Genomic DNA, 20,684 nt, shown 5'->3' with positions numbered 1-20,684 from the left:
CCGACTCCAGCAACTCCCAATCACAGGCCGCGGCATCAGGCACTTCCTCTCGACGTTACGCAGCGCCGCCACTACTTCCGGTGCGCAGTCCTCAGTCCGGGTAGTCCCACATCCCCCGCGCCTGGAGGGCCTAATCACCGAAGGTGCTGATGAGGGGATATGTGTTGCAGCGGACAGGGATTGAGAGTGCAGGGGAGCGGTGTGAAGGGGTCGGGGTTTGGCAAAGGTGGAAGTGAAGGCGTGTCTCCTACGTGAGTTCCTCGAAACTGGAGATGTCCAAGCATCGGCATCTTTGTGGCAGAAAGAGTGACCGGGTCCCTGTGGGACTAGATAAAGGGAGAGGAGTTTGGGGGACCTGGTTATAATGTGTTAGGCAAAAGGATTTGCATTTTATCCTAAAAACCACGGAGAGCCTGAAATGAGCCTCCTTTGTGTTCCTATTGCAGCCTGTGCACACCTCCGAACACAGCATTTACAGCAGGGCGTAGGACCACGCCTTAATTCACCTTGGCTCTCTCCAGTGCTAAGCAAATTTGCTTGAGTGAACAGACCTACATTTTGGCCCAGACACCACCACTTACTAGTTGTATAATCTAGGGCAAGTACTCTGCCTCTTTTTAAAATGGGTATCGCTCTTTTTGGGAGGATTAAGTGAGATAATGCATTTAAAGAATATAGCACAATGCCTGGAACACAACAAAAACTCAAAAAATGAAAAAGAGCTCACCCCATTTGAGCTCATGAGAAACATCTTTAAAATGGTCATGTTAAACCATGTACTTTACAGTATGAAAATAGCAAAAGTAGCACTGAATTGACTGTTTTATGCAAGTCATTCTCTAAGATCCGCCAAAGTATAGTCACTGTGGAAATCTTTAAAATAAGCCTGATATGAGTGTTTACCTTCAGGAAGCTCATTATAGGTACACCTCATCAATGTGTACCTATATTGTTGCTACTATCAAATCCATTTTCACAGCACTCATTATTATTTGTTATACTTTGTGACACTGAAGGAAAAAAATGATTTATCCTAGACCTGAAAGGAGAGAAAATGCTAAGGCCACACTACAGTTTTTTTCCCCCATCAACTAATTTGTCAATGTCTGCTTCTGGCTCAGGAACTTTGGCTGTATCTTCTAAAATATGTTATTTCTTTCTTTTCAATGATTATAGTTTTGGAACAGGAACAAAGAAGTCTGGATTGAGGAGTTCCTAAAAGTAGTGATTGACACCTCTTCAGCCTCTACGTAGTGTATTTCTCAAAGATCAATCCATGATTTACTTGCATCTGAAATTACTGCTTTTTTTTTGTTTAACAGAATCACCTGCGTTTTTAACAAGCACCCAAGTGATTCTGGTGCACAAAAATTTTGAAAACCTCTAGGACATATGTAGGATGACAAATTGTTCTGGTTTGTATGGGCCTGAGGAGTTTCCCAAGACACAGGACTTTAAGTGCTAAAGCCAGGACAGTCCTGGGCAAACTGAGATGGTTGGTTACCCTAGACGATGCGAGTATATAGTATTAGATGTTCTTAATGGTCTTGGCATCCTCATTAGGGTCTTGACTTTCTTATTTCTATTTGAAGTGTTTGAGTTTTTATCAGGAGGTGGTGGTAGAGACCATGGGAGAAGGAATGAAGGCGAAGTGTGTTGCCAATTATCAACCTATTGAGTCTCCATTCCAAACCCACCCTTCACTACCCTGTTTGCAATATTGGAAGGTTTCTCCCTTGCCTTTTGGTTCAATGGACAGTGAGCTTCATCAGTGGAGGGTACTGGAGGAACTTTAGAGGAGGAAGGGGCTCTTTTTTCTGGTTCCAGTGTGCTCCTCTCAGCTGGCTCTTTAGTGCACAGTGGCCCACAGTGTTTGACTACTCCCTGTGGGCTGAATTACCAGGTTAGTTTCTCTTCTGAAAGTTAAGGCATCAATTGGGAAGGAATGGAATCCCAAAATTTGAAATAAGCACTCTGCTTAGACCCAGATAACTGACAGTCTTGAACACCCATGGCACCCTGAGCCTTCCTTGGCAGTGGAAGTAGCTTGTCCTCCTAAGTCTGAGGAGACTAGTCATTCTTTGCTTGAAGACACTGCTAAGCCCTCAGCTGGGGCAGATGACTTCAAAAGGGAAGCTCATTCTCTACAAGACCCAGCAGAATTTACTTCCCCTTCTTCTGCCTCATTGCCACTAGACCCTAACTAGGTTCAAACCTCATTAATGCTCCAGGTAGGCTGCTACACACTATGATCTAGGATAAAACAGCTTGCACGCTGAAAGAACTATACTAATTACACGTACTTTGCTAATGTATGGAATGTGTGGAAGTGGATTCTAACTGTTTTAAACTAAGGAGGGCAGTATATAGTACTATATCAGGCCAATTATATGGAGGCATTTACTAGAGTGCATTTACAGACATTGTGTTGACTCATGCAACTGGAAATGACTCTAACAGCTTATTTGGTGGATTTATTGAAGATTTAACTCAACAGTAGTCTATGGTTAATCCTACTGAGATGCCAAGGCACGATGTAGAGGCGGGAACCCAAAGACTGAGAAGGGTAGAAATGTTGGACTGAATTTATCAAATGTGACCCTGACCCACGTGCAATAGACACAAACACAAAAACTATATCCTACAACAAGATCCAGAAGATGCTCCTTTTTCTAAAGCATTGAGAAATACTTTAGACAAGGGAGCACTTGCATCCTTGGAAAGCTCTGTGGTTGCTCTCCTTTGCAGGCCAGGTGTGATCATGGAAGATGCCACCATTGAGTTGGGTCCCCTGGTTTTACTGGAGATGATGAGGCCAAGTGGCAGCACTTAATTATTAAAGGTAAGGACATTGATCCAATACAGAAGCCAGGACATACCAGTAATCAGAATATGTTGGTCTATAAGGATCTTTGGTAGTGGCCATGGTGTCCCTAGGAATGAAACAGATGGGCAGCCTACTAGAGAATTGTTTGATCTATCTAACAGAAAAAAAGTCTATGTCTAGTAGCCAAAAACCTTACCTGGCCACACTGGATAGACATATCTCTCACCTAGTTTCCAGACAAGTCATATCACGACCCCAAACCTCTTGATTGACAGGGAAGCCACATCTCTTGGAGGAAGGACCCTGCACCATTGTCACAAGTATATACTGTAAATTTTCCTCCAAGTCTTTTTTTTGAGACAGAGTCTCGCTCTATCACCCAAGCTGAGAGCAGTGGCGTGGTCTCGGCTCACTACCAGCTCCGCCTCCTGGATTCATGCCATTCTCCTGCCTCAGCCTCCCGAGTAGCTGCCTGCCACCACGCTCGGCTAATTTTTTGTATTTTTAGTAGAGATGGGATTTCACCATGTTAGCCAGGATGGTCTCGATCTGACCTTGTGATCCACCCACCTCGGCCTCCCAAAGTGCTGAGATTACAGGCATGAGCCACCGCGCCCGGCCCAAGTCTTCATCCAAGTGAATGCAGCCATTTACTCAAATGGTTACACACTGGGGAAAAGTAAGTACCCAGGTATTTTAGGGTTTACTGGGCAATGGCTCTTAACTAATTCCTGGGAACCTAGAACACCTCTATGGCCCACGAATGAAAGTGAGGGCTTAATGATGTTCAAGTGATAGATGGAATCTTAGTTCAAGTTTGACTCACAATGGACCCAGTCATCCACAGATCCATCCAGTGGCTACTTCCCCAGTTCCTGAATGTATATGGATGCTCCCTTGACTTATGATGGGGTTCTATCCTGATAAACCCATTGTAAGTTGAAAATATCATAGGTCAAAATGCATTTGCTACACCCAACTTATGGAACATCACAGTTTAGCTTAGCCTGCCCTAAACATACTCAGAACACTCACATTAGCCTAAGCTGGGCAAAATAATCTAATGCAAAGCCTGTTTTATAATAAAGTGTTGATATATCATGTAATTTATTGAATACTGTACTGAAGTACAGTTTCTACTAAATGTGTACCACTCTTCCACTATCGTCAAGTCAAAAAATCAATGGAACCATCATAAGTCAGGGACCATCTATAGTTGGATTAGTTATATTTGGCAACTAGCAGAATCCCCAAATTGACTCTCTGACCCACAAAGTGAAGGCCAGTTGGTAGAAAAGGCTACCTGGAAACTCCAGGAACTTCCCCTCCATACCAAGATAGTAAATACTAGCAATACCACATTCCTGGAGGAATTGTAAAGATTAATGCCACAATCAAAGACTTGAAAGAATCAGATGATAATTCTATCACATTCTCATTCTCATTTAATTTACTGTTGGCCTGTGCAGAAGTCAAACGGATCTTGAAGAGTGATTGTCGGCTGTTGTAAATTTAATCAGGTAGTTACTCCATGACTCCAATGCAGCTGCTGTCCCACATGTGCTATCTTTACTGCGGCAATTAACATAACCTTTTGCCTTTGGTAGGCAGCTCTTGACCTGGCTAATGCCTTTTTCTCTATATTAATTTACAAGAAACTTTCTGCCTTGGCTGGGTGCGGTGGCTCAGGCCTGTAATCCCAGCACTTTGGGAGGCCAAGGCAGGCACATCGCCTGAGGTCAGGAGTTCAAGACCAGCCTGGCTAACACGGTGAAACCCCATCTCTACTAAAAATACAAAAAATTAGCCAGGCGTGGTGGTGGATGCCTGTAGTCCCAGCTACTTGGGAGGCTGAGGCAGGAGAATGGCGTGAACCCGGGAGGCAGAGCTTGCAGTGAGCCAAGATTGTGCCACTGCACTCCAGCCTGGGTGACAGAGCGAGATTCCATCTCAAAAAAAAAAAAATACAAAAAATTAGCCAGGTGTGGTGGTGCACACCTGTAGTCCCAGCTACTCGGGAGGCTGAGGCAGGAGAATTGCTTGAACTAGGGAGGCAGAGGTTGCAGTGAGCCGAGATCATGCCACTGCATTCCAGCCTGGGCGACAGAGTGAGACCCTGTCTCAAAAAAAAAAAAAGGAACATTCTGCATTTACTTGGCATGGCCAACAGTATACTCTCATAGTCTTGCCTCAGAGATACCTCAGTTCTTCTGCTGTCATACTATAGGTCCACCTCTCATCCTGACATCCTACAAAACATCACTCTAGACAACAATAATGACGACATTGTGCTGATTGGATATGGTGAACAGAAGGTAGAAAGTGTTTTAGATGCTTTAGTAAGACATGTGTGAGCTAGGTGTGGTGGCTCATACCTGTAATGTCATGCATGGGCCAATAGGCCCATGAACAGAGTAGTCATGGTGGCAGGGATGGAGGATATGCATGGGCTCAACAATTTGGACTTCCTTTTCTCAAAGCTGACCTGGCTAATGCTACTGCTGCATACCTAACCTACAAATAGCCAAGACCAATACTGAGCCCTCCATATGTCACCATTTGTCAGGCGACCGTCCAGCCACTTGTAGCAGTTTGATTACATTGGACCTTTTCCATCATAGAGAGGGTGGAGATTCATCTTCACTGGAATATATTCATATTCTGGATATGGGTTTATTTATCTTCCTTGTATGTACTGCTTTGGCCAGCACCACCATCTGTGAACCCACCAAATGTCTTATTCCCCTTCATGGTATTCCCTGATCAAGGAACTCATTTCACAGTAAAGGAAGTACATCAATGGGCTTAACTTCTTACCCATTGGAAACAGTTTGGCTAATTGAAAGATGGAGTGGCTTACTGAAGACTTAGTTATGGCCCCAATCAGGAGACAGCCCCTGAAAGGGTAGAGTTCTGTATTATTGGATGCAGTTTATACTTTGAATCAGAGATCAGAATATGGTGCTCTTTCTCCCTTAACCAGAATACATGACGCTGGGAATGAGGGTGAAAATGAGAGTGACCCCCTTCAGTAATATAATTATTAACCCACTTGCTTCCTGTCCCAGCAACACTGAGCAGTGCTGGTTTGAAGGTCTGCTTCCTCAGGGTGTGAATGCTTACACAAGGACTATGTCTGGAACCAAAAGGATTTTCTCAGGTGCCTCTTGGTACTTTGTGTCCAGTAAAAAAAAAACATAAAGAAAACTACAAAAGCAGCAACAACAAAACAGCAGAATGATGAATAACTTGGATTAAGAATGAAGATTTGTGTTGTACCGTCAGGTAAAGAAGTCAGTGAACTGAGGTTCTGGCTAAGGGCAAGGGAAATATGGAAGAAGCCACCTGTGATGTTATAACCAATAACAGAAACAAAGACTGTATGAGCTTTGTATGTTTTCTCTTTGCTAGCTATATGTATGTGTTTTGTACATGAAAATCATGTTCTTCTCTCTCCATTATTTTATATTTATGTAGTTGGAGGTTACATTTACAATTTAGTTTCTATGTAGCAGAACATTCAGTAGGATTATGATTGAATTTGAAGACTATTTAATACGGTCAGTAGTAGATATGGTGACTGTTGGAAGTTCATTTGGGGGGAAACAATGAGAACGCCTTCACTTCTGTGAAGGATAGCTGTATCTTGGTAGGTGGAAACAGATGTTGTGTTGATCCTACAGAAGTTGAAATGTGTGTAGAAGGGTGGTGCATATGGAAACTGAGTAGCTGAAGGAGTGGACTCTGAATCATCAATCCTTATTAACTCTCAGCTCCAAATCCATCCTTTATTGCCTGCTTGTTATACTGGAACATTTTTCCCTTGCTAGCTGATTCAATAGTAAGCTTCATTAGTCGATAGTCCTGAAGAGACCCTGAAGGGGGAAGGGGCTCTTTAAAAAATTTTTTTAATTAGCCCTTATAAAAGAGGAAGAGGCTCTTTTTCTTCTATTCTCTCTCTCTCTCTCTCTTTCTGACAGAGTCTCGCTGTCACTCAGGCTGCAGTGCAGTGATGCAATTTCTGCTCACTGCAACCTCCACCTCTCGGATTCAAGTGATTCTTCTGCCTCAGCCTCCCGAGTAGCTGGGACTACAGGCGTGCACCACCACACCCGGCTAATTTTTGTATTTTTAGTAGAGACGGGGTTTCACCTTATTGGCCAGGCTGGTCTCAAACTCCTGACCAGAAGAGGCTCTTTTCCATGGTTCCTGTGTGTTCCTCTGTACTAGGTTGAATAATATCCACCCTCAAATTTATGTCCACTCAAAACCTGTGAACATGACCTTATTTGGAAGTAGGGTCTTTCCAGATGCAATCAAGTTAAGATGAGGGCAGAGTGAATTAGGGCAGGTCTGAATCCAATGACTGCTGTCCTTATAAGGAGAGGGAGATTTGGAGACAGAGGGACAGAGAAAGACAGGCAAGGACGCCATGTGAAGGTGGAAGCAGAGCTTGGAGGGATGTTGCCACAAGCCAAGGAGTGTCTGGAGCCACCAGAAGCTGGAAAAGGTGGGGAAGGATCCTCCCTCAGAGCCTGTAGAGTGCACATTCCTGCCAATACCTTGATTTGGGACTTCAGGTCTCCAGAACTGTGAGAGGATGGATTTTCGTTCCTTTAAGCCACCCCATTTGTGGTAATTTGTTATGGCAGGCCTAAGACATGAACACATCTTTTCAGCCAGCTCTGCCATGCACCATGGCCAGCAGAGCTTGGTGCCTCCCCTTGGCAACTTCCCAGTACCACAGTTAGTTCTCTTGGTGCAGCTCGCCAGCAAACTTCGCCATCCAGCAAAACACCACCATGTCTCCTCCAGCGAGGTTTGGATCCTTAACCCTGGCAGATGGGAGCTGTTTCAGAGTTGTTTCTTCCTCGCTGTTCTGCCTCAAACTAGAGGTAGAGGCTGCTCCCTGCATCTGTTACACCAGCGTGAAAGGAAAATAAAATCTCGGGACCCTAATTCACTCTGCCAAAAGGAAAAATTAAGCTCAAAGCTGAGTCATGCAAGAAGCTGCCTTTCCTTTTGTTCCCCAACAGAGAGCTACCGATCAAGGTTAAATATCTGCATGGGTAGCTCCTCTATGTTCACCCTATCTAATGTAAAATGCCAATTTACTGGGTGTGAGATGAATACATAATTGACTATTCCCCTACCTGCTCCTTTTCTCTAGTATCGTGGATCACCAGACCCTCTCTCTTTCCCCTCCAGCACACTTTTCCCCTTTAACTATTAAAGCCCTCAAAATCATCTTTGGAGAAAGGCACAGACCACAGACTTTCTGTTATTCCATGTTCTTTTCTTCCAGATGTGTTCTTAACCTTGGCAAAAATAAACCTCTAAATTGATGGAGACCTGTTTCGGATACTTTTTGGCTTACGCTTGTGTTCTTAGAGTTCTCTTTTTCCCTTTGTCAGTAACCCTCTATTATGGTTAATAATTCTTTCTTTCTTTTCTTCTTTTCTTTTCTGTTCTTCTTTTCTTTTCAACAGAGTCTCGCTCTTTTACCCAGGCTGGCAGGCTGGAGTGTGGTGGTGCAATCTCAGCTCACTGCAACCTCCATCACTTGGGTTCAAGTGATTCTCCTGCCTCAGCCCTCCGAGTAGCTGGGATTACAGATGTGCACCACCACGCCCAGCTAATTTTTTCTTTTATTTTTAGTAGAGACAGGATTTTGCTATGTTGGCCAGGCTGGTCTTGAATTCCTGACCTCAAGTGATCCACCCGCCTCGGCCTCTCATGGTGCTAGGATTATAGGCGTGAGCCACCGCGCCCGACCTATTTCTTTCCTGTCCAGATGATTATGTAGCTTCTGTCTCCTGATTGAGTCCTGATGGTTGCAGTGGGAATGTGGCATCAGGAGTTGAAAGCAAAGGCTAACTGCCTGGGCCCCGGGTTGGCCTCTGTACATCACTGATTTGCCTCTGAGTTGGGTCCTTGCTCTCCTAGCCCATCACTTACGTATTGCTTGCTCCTCCTAGTTTGTCCTCATCCAAGACTGCCTTCCTAAAGTAGATGTTGCTGGTTGCTTTGCTACTTTGAAGCCAGCATTTCTCAGCATGTGGTTGGAAGGGTAACTGCATGAGAATCACTAGGGGATGCTGTAAAAATGCACATTCTGGGAGCCCATCAGGATTCTCAGTTAGTAGGTCTGGGGCAGGGCCCAGCAATGTGCATTTTTTTTTTTTTTTTTGAAACATAGTCTCGCTTCGTCGCCCAGGCTGGAGTGCAGTGGCATGGTCTTGGCTCACTGCAACCTCCGCCTCCTGGGTTCAAGCAATTCTCCTGCCTCAGCCTCCTGGCTGCCACACCTGGCTAATTTTTTGTACTTTAGTAGAGACAGGGTTTCACTGTGTCTTGAACTCCTGACCTCAGGTGATCTGCCCGCCTCAGCCTCCCAAAATGTTAGGATTACAGGCGTGAGCCACCCGCACCTGGCAGTAATTTGCATTTTTAACAATGCTCTGTTCCATTTTGCAGGTACCTGCACCATATTCTGTATCCTTTCCCTATGTCTGTTTTCCAGAGGTGATCACTTCCCACTCAACAGTTATCTCATACCCTGGATGGCAAAGCTGATAGATGCTTTAAGTGCTGGTAGCTCTTAACAGTGATTCTGAGTGAGCTACACCCTGTAGCCTATTTTCAGTTGCCGATTTTCACACCACTCTCTTGCCAAGCGTTCCCTGTTTCAATCATGTGCAGCTTGTGGAGTGCCTGCTGCTGTATTCCTGAGAAAATCCAACCCAAGGAAAATAATGGCACATCATGCTAATAGCTCTCAGTGAAGGTGTTGCATAGAGAAATTCCCAGCCTATGTCTCACTGCCAAAGGTTTAGCAGCTCCCAGCTTGAGCAAGGAGGGTGGGAAGGGAATCTGCCAACCCTGCAGCATGTTTGCTATGAGGCTTTCAGCTCTCTGCCAACTTTCAACAACATTGAAGGGTAGAGGACATTTCCCCAGACTCCAGACAGGAACACCTTCTGTTCAATGCCCAGCACGATTGTAGATGCTGCAGGAGGTAAAATCTCCATCCAGTGAACCACAGGGTAAACTGTGTGAGATACAATTAAAAAACAGTGTAATTGGATGTGAAATTATGGAGGGCAGACAAAAATTTGGGGAACAAGAGATCACTAGAGGTTATAGTCATTAGCAAAGTCACTATGGAGTATAGGGAATTATGTCAAGGTTTTAAATTATGTAGCATTCAGACAGCTTGAAGATATTCTGATAGTTACATTATCCCTAAAAGGAGTAGGCAACATTTACACATTCTTATTTCTAAATAATAGCAAATAATAACATTAGTTAACATTTCATGAGCACTTCTTACATGCCAAGTGCTGTTCCAATCACTTACATGCCTACACTGATCTAATTTTTTTTTTTTTTTTTTTTTTTTTTTTTTTTTTTTTGAGACGGAGTCTCGCTCTGTCGCCCAGGCCGGACTGCGGACTGCAGTGGCGCAATCTCGGCTCACTGCAAGCTCCGCTTCCCGGGTTCACGCCATTCTCCTGCCTCAGCCTCCCGAGTAGCTGGGACTACAGGCGCCCGCCACCGCGCCCGGCTAATTTTTTGTATTTTTAGTAGAGACGGGGTTTCACCTTGTTAGCCAGGATGGTCTCGATCTCCTGACCTCATGATCCACTCGCCTCGGCCTCCCAAAGTGCTGGGATTACAGGCGTGAGCCACCGCGCCCGGCCCACTGATCTAATTTTAAGAACCCAGTTACACAGGCATTATTATTATTAGACCCATTTTACAAAGAAGACTGAACCACAATGCCACATGATGCCACCGTGCCACCTCTCTGCAAATACATGCCAGAATGAAAGCCAAATTAGGAAAGATAGGACTGTTCCTAAAATGACATGAACCATTTCTTGGGACCTCATTGCTGGTGTCTTTCAGTGACTTCAAAAAAGAAGAGTTGGTAGCAGTGTAATCCAGCAGCCCCTGAGTTATTAAGCATTCTTGATGGTTTTATCTAGATGGCTTAGCAGATTCCTCTGTAGAGCTACTGAGTCCTCAGAACCATGGGAATGGCATCATTTTGAGTCTATGAACTATGATGTCAAACGAGACTTGGTTCAGATCTCAGCTTCACTACTCCATTGGTGGGTAACTTCAAACAAGTTACTTAGTTCTCCTCATCTGTTGGACTCTATGAAGATTCACCCATACATTCATTCATTCATTTAATCTGCAAATACTGAGTACTGACTGCAGCTAGCAGTGTGCCGGATACTAGGGACAAAGCAGTGTTCAAGACAGACTTGATTCCTGCCCTCATGGAGGTAATAGTCTAGCAGAGGAGATAGACATTTTTAAAATAAGCAAATATTACAGTTGCCATATTTCCTATGAGGCTGTATCATGGGGGACCTAACCTAGTGGAGTAATATCCCCAGTGTGTGCTGAGTCCTAGGCTGGCTGGGAGTTTTACTGATATAGGTCAGGCTCAGCTGGGAGGTCAGCAGCTAAGGGCTGGCTGGTCTAGACTAGCCTTGACTCCATGTGGTCCCTCAGCTTTGAACAAGCTCACCAGGCATGTTCTAATAGCAGTGGCAGAGAGAGAGAAGGGGGTAGAGGAGGGGGTCCTGAATGCAAGCACACAAGGACTTTTGAAGCCCAGGTGTGGAAATTGTATGAAATCACTTCCACTTCATTTATTGGCCAAAGCAAGCCAGCTCAGGTTCAAGGAGTGGGGAAATTGACTTTATCTCTTGCTTGCAGTTGTTGCAACATCACATCGCAGAGGGCACAAATACTGGGAAGAGCAGAGTAGAGTAGAGAGAGTCATTTTTGCAATCAATCTACCACAGTCAGTGAGAAACTGAAAGTGGGTTCTGTGGGAGTAGAGAGTGAGGAAATGAGTCATGAGATGGGGTAAAAAGAAGCCACATCATGAAGGTGTTAAGAGGCACTAAACAGTAAAAGTTAATTTAATTGCTTCTCGGCCTTTTGACTGAGACCAAGTGTAGTAAACGTTAATTCACATAGGGCAGGAAGCATACGGTAAACATTAAACACTCACTCTCCCCGCTCCCCCTTATTTTCCATCTCATAGAATGATGTCACTTGGACATCATTGTCAAGTTCATTTGTTTTAGGTGTGTACCTTAGGCAGGGATTGTTCTTTCCAGTGCTCAGGATGCTTGTCAGCAAATATTCAATAAAAGCTTCTTACCGAATAAATAACAGAGTACCTGAAATTATTAAGTTAATGACTAGTAGACCATTGCCTCCTGTGTCTTAGGAGTAAATTATCCACTTTCTTGAAGCAAATTCATTATGTTGAGAAGCATGAAAACGAAATTGATGTGCCTAGGTTGTCTTTTGCACTGAAAGAACCAACGACAGCATGGCTGTGAAATACAATATTCATCTGAGTTTCCATTTACAGCTTTTCCATAGGCTGTGTGGTGCTTGGCAGTAATGACCATTGGTTTGTCCAATTTTTTTTTCTTTGAGACGGAGTTTTGCTCTTGTTGCCCAGGCTGGAGTGCAATGGTGCGATCTTGGCTCACCACACCCTCCATCTCCCAGGTTCAAGCAGTTCTCCTGCCTCAGCCTCCTGAGTAACTGGAATTACAGGCATGTGCCACCACGCCTGCCTGGCTAATTTTTTTGTATTTTTAGTAGAGATGGGGTTTCACCATGTTGGCCAGGATGGTCTCGAACTCATGACCTCATGATCTGCCTGCCTTGGCCTCCCAAAATGCTGGGATTACAATCGTGAGCCACCGCGCCCAGACTGGTTTGTCCAATTGGTAAATGCAGCCAACATCTGCACTAAGCGGGGGTGCGTGAATAAGAAACACAGTAAGCCCAAATTATTCCCATACACTCTGGATAAACTGAACATTTTAAAAAGTGGCCTTGTAGCTTTCAGAAGATTTCTAGTACCATTAGCTGGGCAGAAACCACATTTATAAGATGTGAGTCTGAAAAAATTCTTCCAGATCTTGTACCATTGTCTTCCCAGGGACAGAACCATGGCTTTGCAATGATGAACTAGTCGGTAATACATTAGATTAAAAGGTAGGAGAATCTGAGCTGATGTATTGAAGCACACAGAGCTTCTACTTCTAGAAATGAAGTAAGTTGGAGATCTTGAAGGTTGTCTTCTACAAAACACCTCCAGATGAAAGATAAAATACCCCTTTAAATGAATTAGCCTGTGCAAAAGATATTTCTTCTGATATCAGGACAATGTAGGAACATGAGCCCAGAGAGATGAATAAGCTGGGACATGTACTGCTCCTCGGTGGCCTAATTGCTTGGATATTCCTGGGTATAGACGGAAGTAAATGGATTGGGACAGAACAGGAGACAAAGCCCATGAAGGGGAATCATAGCAGAGACCTTCTACATAAATCTGGGACCCAGGAAGGGCTACACGTGCAAAGGATGAACCGAGGCAAAATTAAACAAACAGAAAACAAAACAAAGGAAAAGAAAAAGAAAGAAAAAACCCAGAGGCAAACAGAAAAAAACAAAACAAAACAAAAAACCCTTTTCTCTCTTGGGCTTAACTCACAGTGAGGGGAAAAAGTCTCCCCCAGGAATTCATGGTGACCCACATCTTTATGTAGGTGTAGGGACTGAACTAACTCCATTTGCCCAATGCTCTTCCCCATCCACCAAAATATAAATAAATAAATAAACAAATATCCAACACACAACAAAAACCCAACAACTGTATAAGCTGAGAATTTTAATTTAAAGAAGACCAAAATTGGTAGTGTCCCCATGTCTGATGGAAACAAACACAAATTCTCCCATGAAGAATTTACATTTAGGGCCTTGAATAATTTGCATATAGTTTTAATGAGCATAAAGTCACACACATACATAAACATCATGAAAAATATAGGGGAATAAAGCACCATTAGCAAGAGTCAGCAGAAACAATAGAAATATTTATAAAGATTATTAGATTACTGGAACTATCAGATACAGAATATAAAGCTGTTTGATATGTTTACATAAATAAATGAAAAAAATTTTAAACATAATTATAATTCATAACCACCAAATGACAATGCATTTTTGAAAAACAACAAAATATAATAATTAAAATTGAAAACTTAATGGAGCTTTTGCTTTTTGGACATAGCAATAGCAAGCCATTACTCCACCATAACTTAGGAAGTAAGCACATTGTATATATTTTTTTCTTTGAAGACACTGGAGACCGATGTAAGCAATGACTTAGCTTAACTAAAATTCTTAAGAAGGAAAAACATTTCCTGAGTGAGCTGGCCTTATTCTCTGAGGTCATTTCTCAAACATGAGAGCTGAGGACTGGGCCCTGCTAAAGGTACTGGCATCTCTACTAGAGGAAAGAGAATCCAACAGACATTTTGACAGCCATTGGGATGGCATGACGGATTGGAATCTAGAAAAACCCCCAAATGCATGGCCAGTTTGCCCTATGGGGCATTTGCTGAGTACTAGGGCAGCATGGAAGGGTGGAAGGTGGGGCTAGGAAGGCGAGAAAGACAAGGTTAAACCTTTCATAGTCTTTTTTTTTTTTTTTTTTTTTTGAGACAGGGTCTCACTCTGTCACCCAGGCTGGAGTGCTGTGGTGCAATCACAACTCACTGCAGTCTCGACCTCCTGGGATTAAGTGATCCTCCAGGCTCAGCTTCCTGAGTAGCTGGGATCACAGGCATGCACCACTACGCCTGGTTAATTTTTGTATTTTTACAAGAGACAGGGTTTCACCATATTGCCCAGGCTGGCCTCTAACTTCTGGGCTCAATCGGTTGGTCCACCTCAGCCTCCCAAAGTGCTGGGGTTACAGGTGTGAGCCACAGAGTCTGGCCCCTTTCATAGTCTTGATATGCTTGGAAACAAAATTCTGAGAAAGACAAGTCCACAATAAACATATGGCAGGCCTCATTCTGTAGACATTTGAAACTACAGGGCACTGAATCTAATCAAGGTGGCTTCCTAGCCCTAGCCCAGTTCAATTCCTAATAAAGTGATGAGTTCTCACCCTACTCAGCAGGGAAAGGACAAACTCTCTATGGAGGAAAATATGACCAACTTCAGTCTTTATGGTTCTTTAAAAATAGAATGTCTGCTGTACACTTAAAAAAAATTATGGAACATGCAAGGAAGCAGAAAAATGTAACTGACGAAGAGAAAAAAAAAAAACACAGAAGCAGACCCCACAGATTATTCAAATGTAAAAGTAATCAGACAAGGATTTTAAAACAACTATCATGAAAATTTATGAAAGTAGAGGAAAAGAACAAAATGTGTGAAAAGGGAGAATTTTAATAGAGAATTGGAATTTACTCATCTGTTTTTGAGATGGAGTCTTGCTCTGTTGCCCAGGCTGGAGAGCAGTGGTGCCATCTCAGCTCACTGCAACTTCCGCCTCCTGGGTTCAAGTGAACCTCCTGCCTTAGCCTCATGAGTAGCTGGGGCTACAGGTGTGTACCACCACACCCAGATAATTTTTGTATTTTTAGTAGAGACGGTGTTTTGCCATGTTGGCCAGGCTGGTCTCGAACTCCTGACCTCAGATGATCCGCCTGCCTCGGCCTCCAAGAATTGGAAATTATGTAAAAGAAGCAAATGAACATTCCAGACACGAAAAGTACAATACCTGAAATTAAGAGCTCATTTGATGGATTTAACAGCAGACTATACCCTAAATATAGTAGGATTTGTGAATTTGAAAGATACATAGTAGAAAATAAGGTAAACTAAGCTAAGCTAAACCGTTCTTACCATATGATCCAGTAATCATACTCCTTAGTCTTTACTCAAATGAGTTAAAAAAAACTTTTGTCCACAAAAATATGCACAAATGTTTATAGCAGCTTTGTTTATAATTGCCAGAACTGGAAGCAACTAAGATGTCCTTCCAAAACTGGAAGCAACCAAGATGTGAATGAACAAAGTGTGATACATCTGTACAATGGAGTATTATTTAGTGATAAAGGAAATGAGCTATCAAACCTTAAAAAGCCATGAATCTTAAATGCATACTGCTAAGTGAAAGCTGCTTGTCTGAAAAGGCTACATACTGTGTGATTCCAAGTATCTAAGACTCTGGAAAAAGCAAAGCAGTAGAGACAGTCAAAAGATCAGTGGCTGCCAGAGGATTGGGGATGGAGGAAAAGAGAGGGATGAATGGGTGGAGCACAGGGGAGTAAAACTATTCTGACATTAAAATGGCAGATATATAAATGCATTTGCTAAAACCCATAGAAAAGCATGGCACCTAATGTAAACTGTACTCAGTTGTTAACAGTGTAACCATATGAGTTCATCAGTGGTAACAAATACAAGATAATAGTGAAAACTCTACGGGTAGGGAATTCTGTACTTGCTGCTCAATTTTTTCTGTAAACCTAAAACTGCTCTAAAATGCAGTACAATTTACTAATTTGTTTTAAAAAACAGTTAATAGAAACTATCTAAACCAAAGCATAGAGAGGAAAAAAGAAAACCATGGAGGCTTCTGGCAGTATAGCTAAAAAATCCTAGATTCCAGCTAAATTAGAATAAGTATGAAGAGTGGCCACAAATACCCTAGGTATGCTAGTGAGAAATTATCTGTATTTCTCCTCTGTTCTCTGTAGAAATTTAAATTTTCCCCATGCTGTTTTATCATCTACCTCATATCATACTGAATCCCTACCTAGAAAAATGTAAAACACATAATTAGCTCAGGAGCCAAACTCCTGCATAATTAATCTGTTACCACCCTATACATTTTAATGCAAGGCTGAATTCACAAGATATAAATGAAATTCTCCAAGGACAAGAAATCAAAACAAAAGGGAAAAAACCCTGAAGTCAGAACTAGAGGCAGTGAGCAGTAAAAGAATAGGAAATCAGGGGTTGCCCCTTGGGGATAATGGCAAAACCCACTGAAATCACTAGAAGGTAAGAGAACCAAGCCTGAGATTCCTGCACTGGGGTTAGAGCAGTGCCAGCCTGGTAGCAGCTCCAGGTTGGTGAAAGCAACAAAAGAAAGCCAATATCTGAAGAAGAGCATCCCAGTTTAGCCCTCAGAATTAGCTTCCCCAGATTAAAATTAAACAAACAGGACTTCAAAATAAAAACGCCAGCCTGGTGCAGTGGCTCACACCTATAATCCCAGCACTTTGGGATGCCAAGGCAGGCGGATTGCTTGAGCCCAGAAGCTCGAAACCAGCCATGGGCAACATAACAAGACCCCGTCTCAAAGGAAATACAAAAATTAGTCAGGCATGGTGGCACCCACCTGTAGTCCCAGCTACTTAGGAGGCTGAGGTGGAAGGACTGCTTGAGCCTAAAAGCTCAAGGCTGCAGTGAGCCATGATTGTGCCACTGCACTCAGGCCTGGGCAACATAGCGTGACCCTGTCTCAAAAAGTGGAAATACCAAACAAAGAAGAAAAGTAAAGCACTTTGAGTGAGAAAGTGCCACCAGAAATACAAACAATGGGTTTAGACTCCTAAGAATTTAAGATATTGGTATTATCAGATATGGACCATAAAATACCAATGTAGTACACAGTTACGTAAACTTTTAGCACTGAATTTTAAAAATGAGCAAGTAATAAAAAACTATTAGGACTGACCAGGCAGGTTTAAATGAGAGCCAAACAGATTCTTTCCCCCGGGCTCCCAAAAGACAGGGTCTTGCTCTGTTGCCCAGGCTGGAGTGCAGTGGTGCGATCATAGCTCACTGCAGCCTCAACCTCCTGGGCTCAAGGGATCCTCCTGCCTTAGCCTCCCAAGTAGCTATGACTATAGGTGAGCGCCACCATGTCTGGTCAATTTTTAAATTTTTTGAAGAGATGGGGGGGTCTTACTTTGTTGCCCAGGCTGGTCTTGAACACCTCGCCTCAAGGAATCTTCCCACCTTGGCCTCTCAAAGAGCTGGGATTACAGGCATGAGCCACTGTGCCTGGCCCCAAATAGAACTTTTTAAAATGAAAAACATTTTAAATTAAAATTATAGTGAATGGTTTTAACAGCAGAAAAGGTGTGAAAAATTATAGAAATGCAATATAGATGTGAAGAAATGATGCAGCATGCAGCTCAGGGAGAGAAGGGTGGAAAGTATAAATGTGAGATTAAAAGGGAATGGGCCAGGCTCGGTGGCTGACGCCTGTAATCCCAGCATGATTTTGGAGGCCGAGGTGGGTGGATCATTTGAGGTCAGGAGTTTGAGACCAGCCTGGCCAACATGGTGAAACCCCACCTCTACTAAAAAAAATACAAAAATTAGGCAGGCATGGTGGTGGGCGCTTGTTGTCCCAGCACTTGGGAGGCTGAGGCAGGAGAATCGCTTGAACCCAGGAGGCGGAGGTTGCAGTGAGCCAAGATTGCGCCACTGCACTCCAGCCTGGGTGACAGAGTAAGACACTGTCTCAAAACAAACAAACAAACAGAAAAACAGAATGAAGACTTGGCACTTGTAACTTGAGTCTCAGATAGATACAATGAGATAATGCCTGATAAATTTTCAGAAATGACAAAAGGCATGAATTCATAGATACAGGAAGCATACTGTAAACCAGGTAGAATAAATAAAGAGTTCCACACTTAGACACCTTGGCATGAAACTGAGGAACACCAAGTCAAAAGGTATTGCCAAAGAGGCCAGAGATATATCACCTACAACAAAAGGCACCATACTGATTTCTGAAAAACAACAATGGAAGCCAGAAGTCAGTAATATGATCCAGTATTTCATTAACTTTAAGATGCCATCAATGCTAAATCACACCACTATTTTATACAGCACCAGTAAAGAAAAAAAGTAATGTCAAATTATGATATGCACCAGAATATCTCAAATGTAGGAAATAAAGGTATACAAGGAACTTGATAAACAGGTGGTAATTTATTTTATACAAAAATGTGTGTATAAGATAATAAAAATGTCTAACTTATGGGGTTCTAAAAATCAGAGGTTAGGCTGGGCACGGTGGCTCACGCCTGTAATCCCAGCACTTGGGAGGCAGGATTACAGGCAGGTGAGGCGGGCGGATCACCTGAGGTCAGGAGTTTGAGACCAGCCTGGCCAACATGGCAAAACCCCGTCTCTACTAAAAGTACAACAAAGCCCAGCATGGTGGCACACATCTGTAATCCCAGCTACTCGGGAGGCTGAGGCAGCAGAATCGCTTGAACCCGGGAGGTGGAGGTTGCAGTGAGCCGAGATTGCGCCACTGCACTCCAGCCTCGGTGACAGAGCGAGACTCCATCTCAAAATAATAATAATAATAATAATAATAATAATAATAGTAATAATAATAATAAAATCAGAGGTTAGAATATTGGCCTACAATAGCATGTAAGTAGGGAAGGGGTTGATCAGACTTATGATGTTCCAAAGTCCATTATAAGTAAAGAACGGGTTATGATACCAGATAACTTTAGATTGTATTGAGTATGCATTGAAAAAGTTCAGGAGTAAACACAAGAAAAATATAAATAGAATGTAAAACTTTAAACCTAGTACAGAGGGAGAAATGGAATAATAACAATAATAAAACCAAACAGCCAATCAATAAGTAATGGAAAAAACGCATAAAAGAGAAACAAATAGTACAAAATAACATGATAGAAGTCTTCATGTTTTAAGAATTATAATAAATGTAAATGGAATAAAGTTGTCTACTAAAGGGTAGAGATGGCCAAATGAAAAGCCAAAATCCAGATTTATTTGACTTACAAGAGACAAAACTAAACCATCAACACGTAGGAGGTAAAAGGATTTAAAGATATACACTAAATACCAACCAAAGCTATATTGAGATAACAGAAAACAGATTTTTATTTGCTAAGGCAAAAAGCATTAGCAATAAGGAAGTCACTACATAACAAGAAGAGTTCAACTCACCAGGACAACACAAGAATTCCACACTTTATTCACTCAATAGAATGTATAAAGTTAAAACTGATAAAAGAGGGGAAATTGTCAAATCTACCATTACAGTAGGAGAATTCAAAATACCTTTATCAATTATTAATAGGTCAGACAAAAGTTAGTAAAGATATGAAAGATTTGAACAACACAATTAACAAGCAGTGCCACATATGTAGAAAACAATCAGAGGCCAGGTGCCTTGGCTTACGCCTGTAATCCCAACACTTCGGGAGGCCAAGGCCGGAGGATCATTTAAGCCCAGGAGTTCCAGACCAGCTTGGGCAACATACCCAGCTACTCAGGAGGCTGAGGTGGGAGGACTGCTTAAGCCCAGGATGTTGAGGCTGCAGTGAGCCAAGATCATGCCATCGTACATGCCTAGGGGACACAGTGAGACCAGTTTCCAAAAAAAAAAAGGAAACATAATTAGGAAGCACATGTGAAACACTTAAAAAACTGGCCATACTGTGGCTGGGTGCGGTGGTTCACGCCTGTACTCCCAGCACTTTGGGAGGCCGAGGCGGGCGAATCACGAGGTCAGGAGTTTGAAACCAGCCTGGCCAACATGGTGAAACCCCGTCTCTACTAAAAATATAAAAAATTAGCTGGGAGTAGTGGCGGACGCCTGTAATCCCAGCTACTCGGGAGGCTGAGGCAGGAGAATCGCTTGAACCCGGGAGGCGGAGGTTGCAGTGAGCTGAGATCGTGCCACTGCACTCCAGCCTGGCGACAGAGCAAGACCGTGTCTCAAAAAAAAAAAAAAAAGGAAAAAAAAGTGGCCACACCTGGACGTAAAACAAGTCTCAAAAATTTTCTAGCTAGGTGTGATGACTCATGCCTAGAATCCTAGCTACTTGGGAGGCTGAGGCAGGATTGCAGGAGGCCAGGTGTTCAAGACCAGCCTGGGCAACATACTGAGACCCCCATCTTTAAAAATAAAAATTATAAAGCCAGTGCCTATAGT

At 42.9% G+C, this 20,684-nt stretch overlaps 1 long non-coding RNA gene across 2 annotated transcripts, besides 1 other annotated feature; it reads left to right on the top strand.

Moving 5' to 3' along the window:
* Positions 9-208: an enhancer, noted in NCBI's record as "active region_4646". NCBI's record gives its function as "activates an Ori minimal core promoter by ATAC-STARR-seq in GM12878 lymphoblastoid cells {active_cell/tissue: GM12878}" and the evidence as "EXISTENCE:reporter gene assay evidence [ECO:0000049][PMID:35858748]".
* Positions 88-6,421, top strand: LOC105376644 (uncharacterized). Of its 2 annotated transcripts, none has more exons than XR_001748200.2 (3): positions 88-143; positions 2,749-2,842; positions 5,896-6,421. It is a non-coding gene; the product is annotated as an uncharacterized LOC105376644 (long non-coding RNA). The 2 variants fall into 2 exon arrangements; XR_931227.3 differs by having other exon boundaries at positions 99-251.
* Positions 6,422-20,684: the final 14,263 nt, after the last annotated feature.

Source organism: Homo sapiens, chromosome 11, assembly GCF_000001405.40.
Source record: "Homo sapiens chromosome 11, GRCh38.p14 Primary Assembly".
NCBI classification, from domain to species: Eukaryota; Metazoa; Chordata; class Mammalia; order Primates; family Hominidae; genus Homo; species Homo sapiens.
This window is presented reverse-complemented; position numbering and strand designations above follow the sequence as displayed.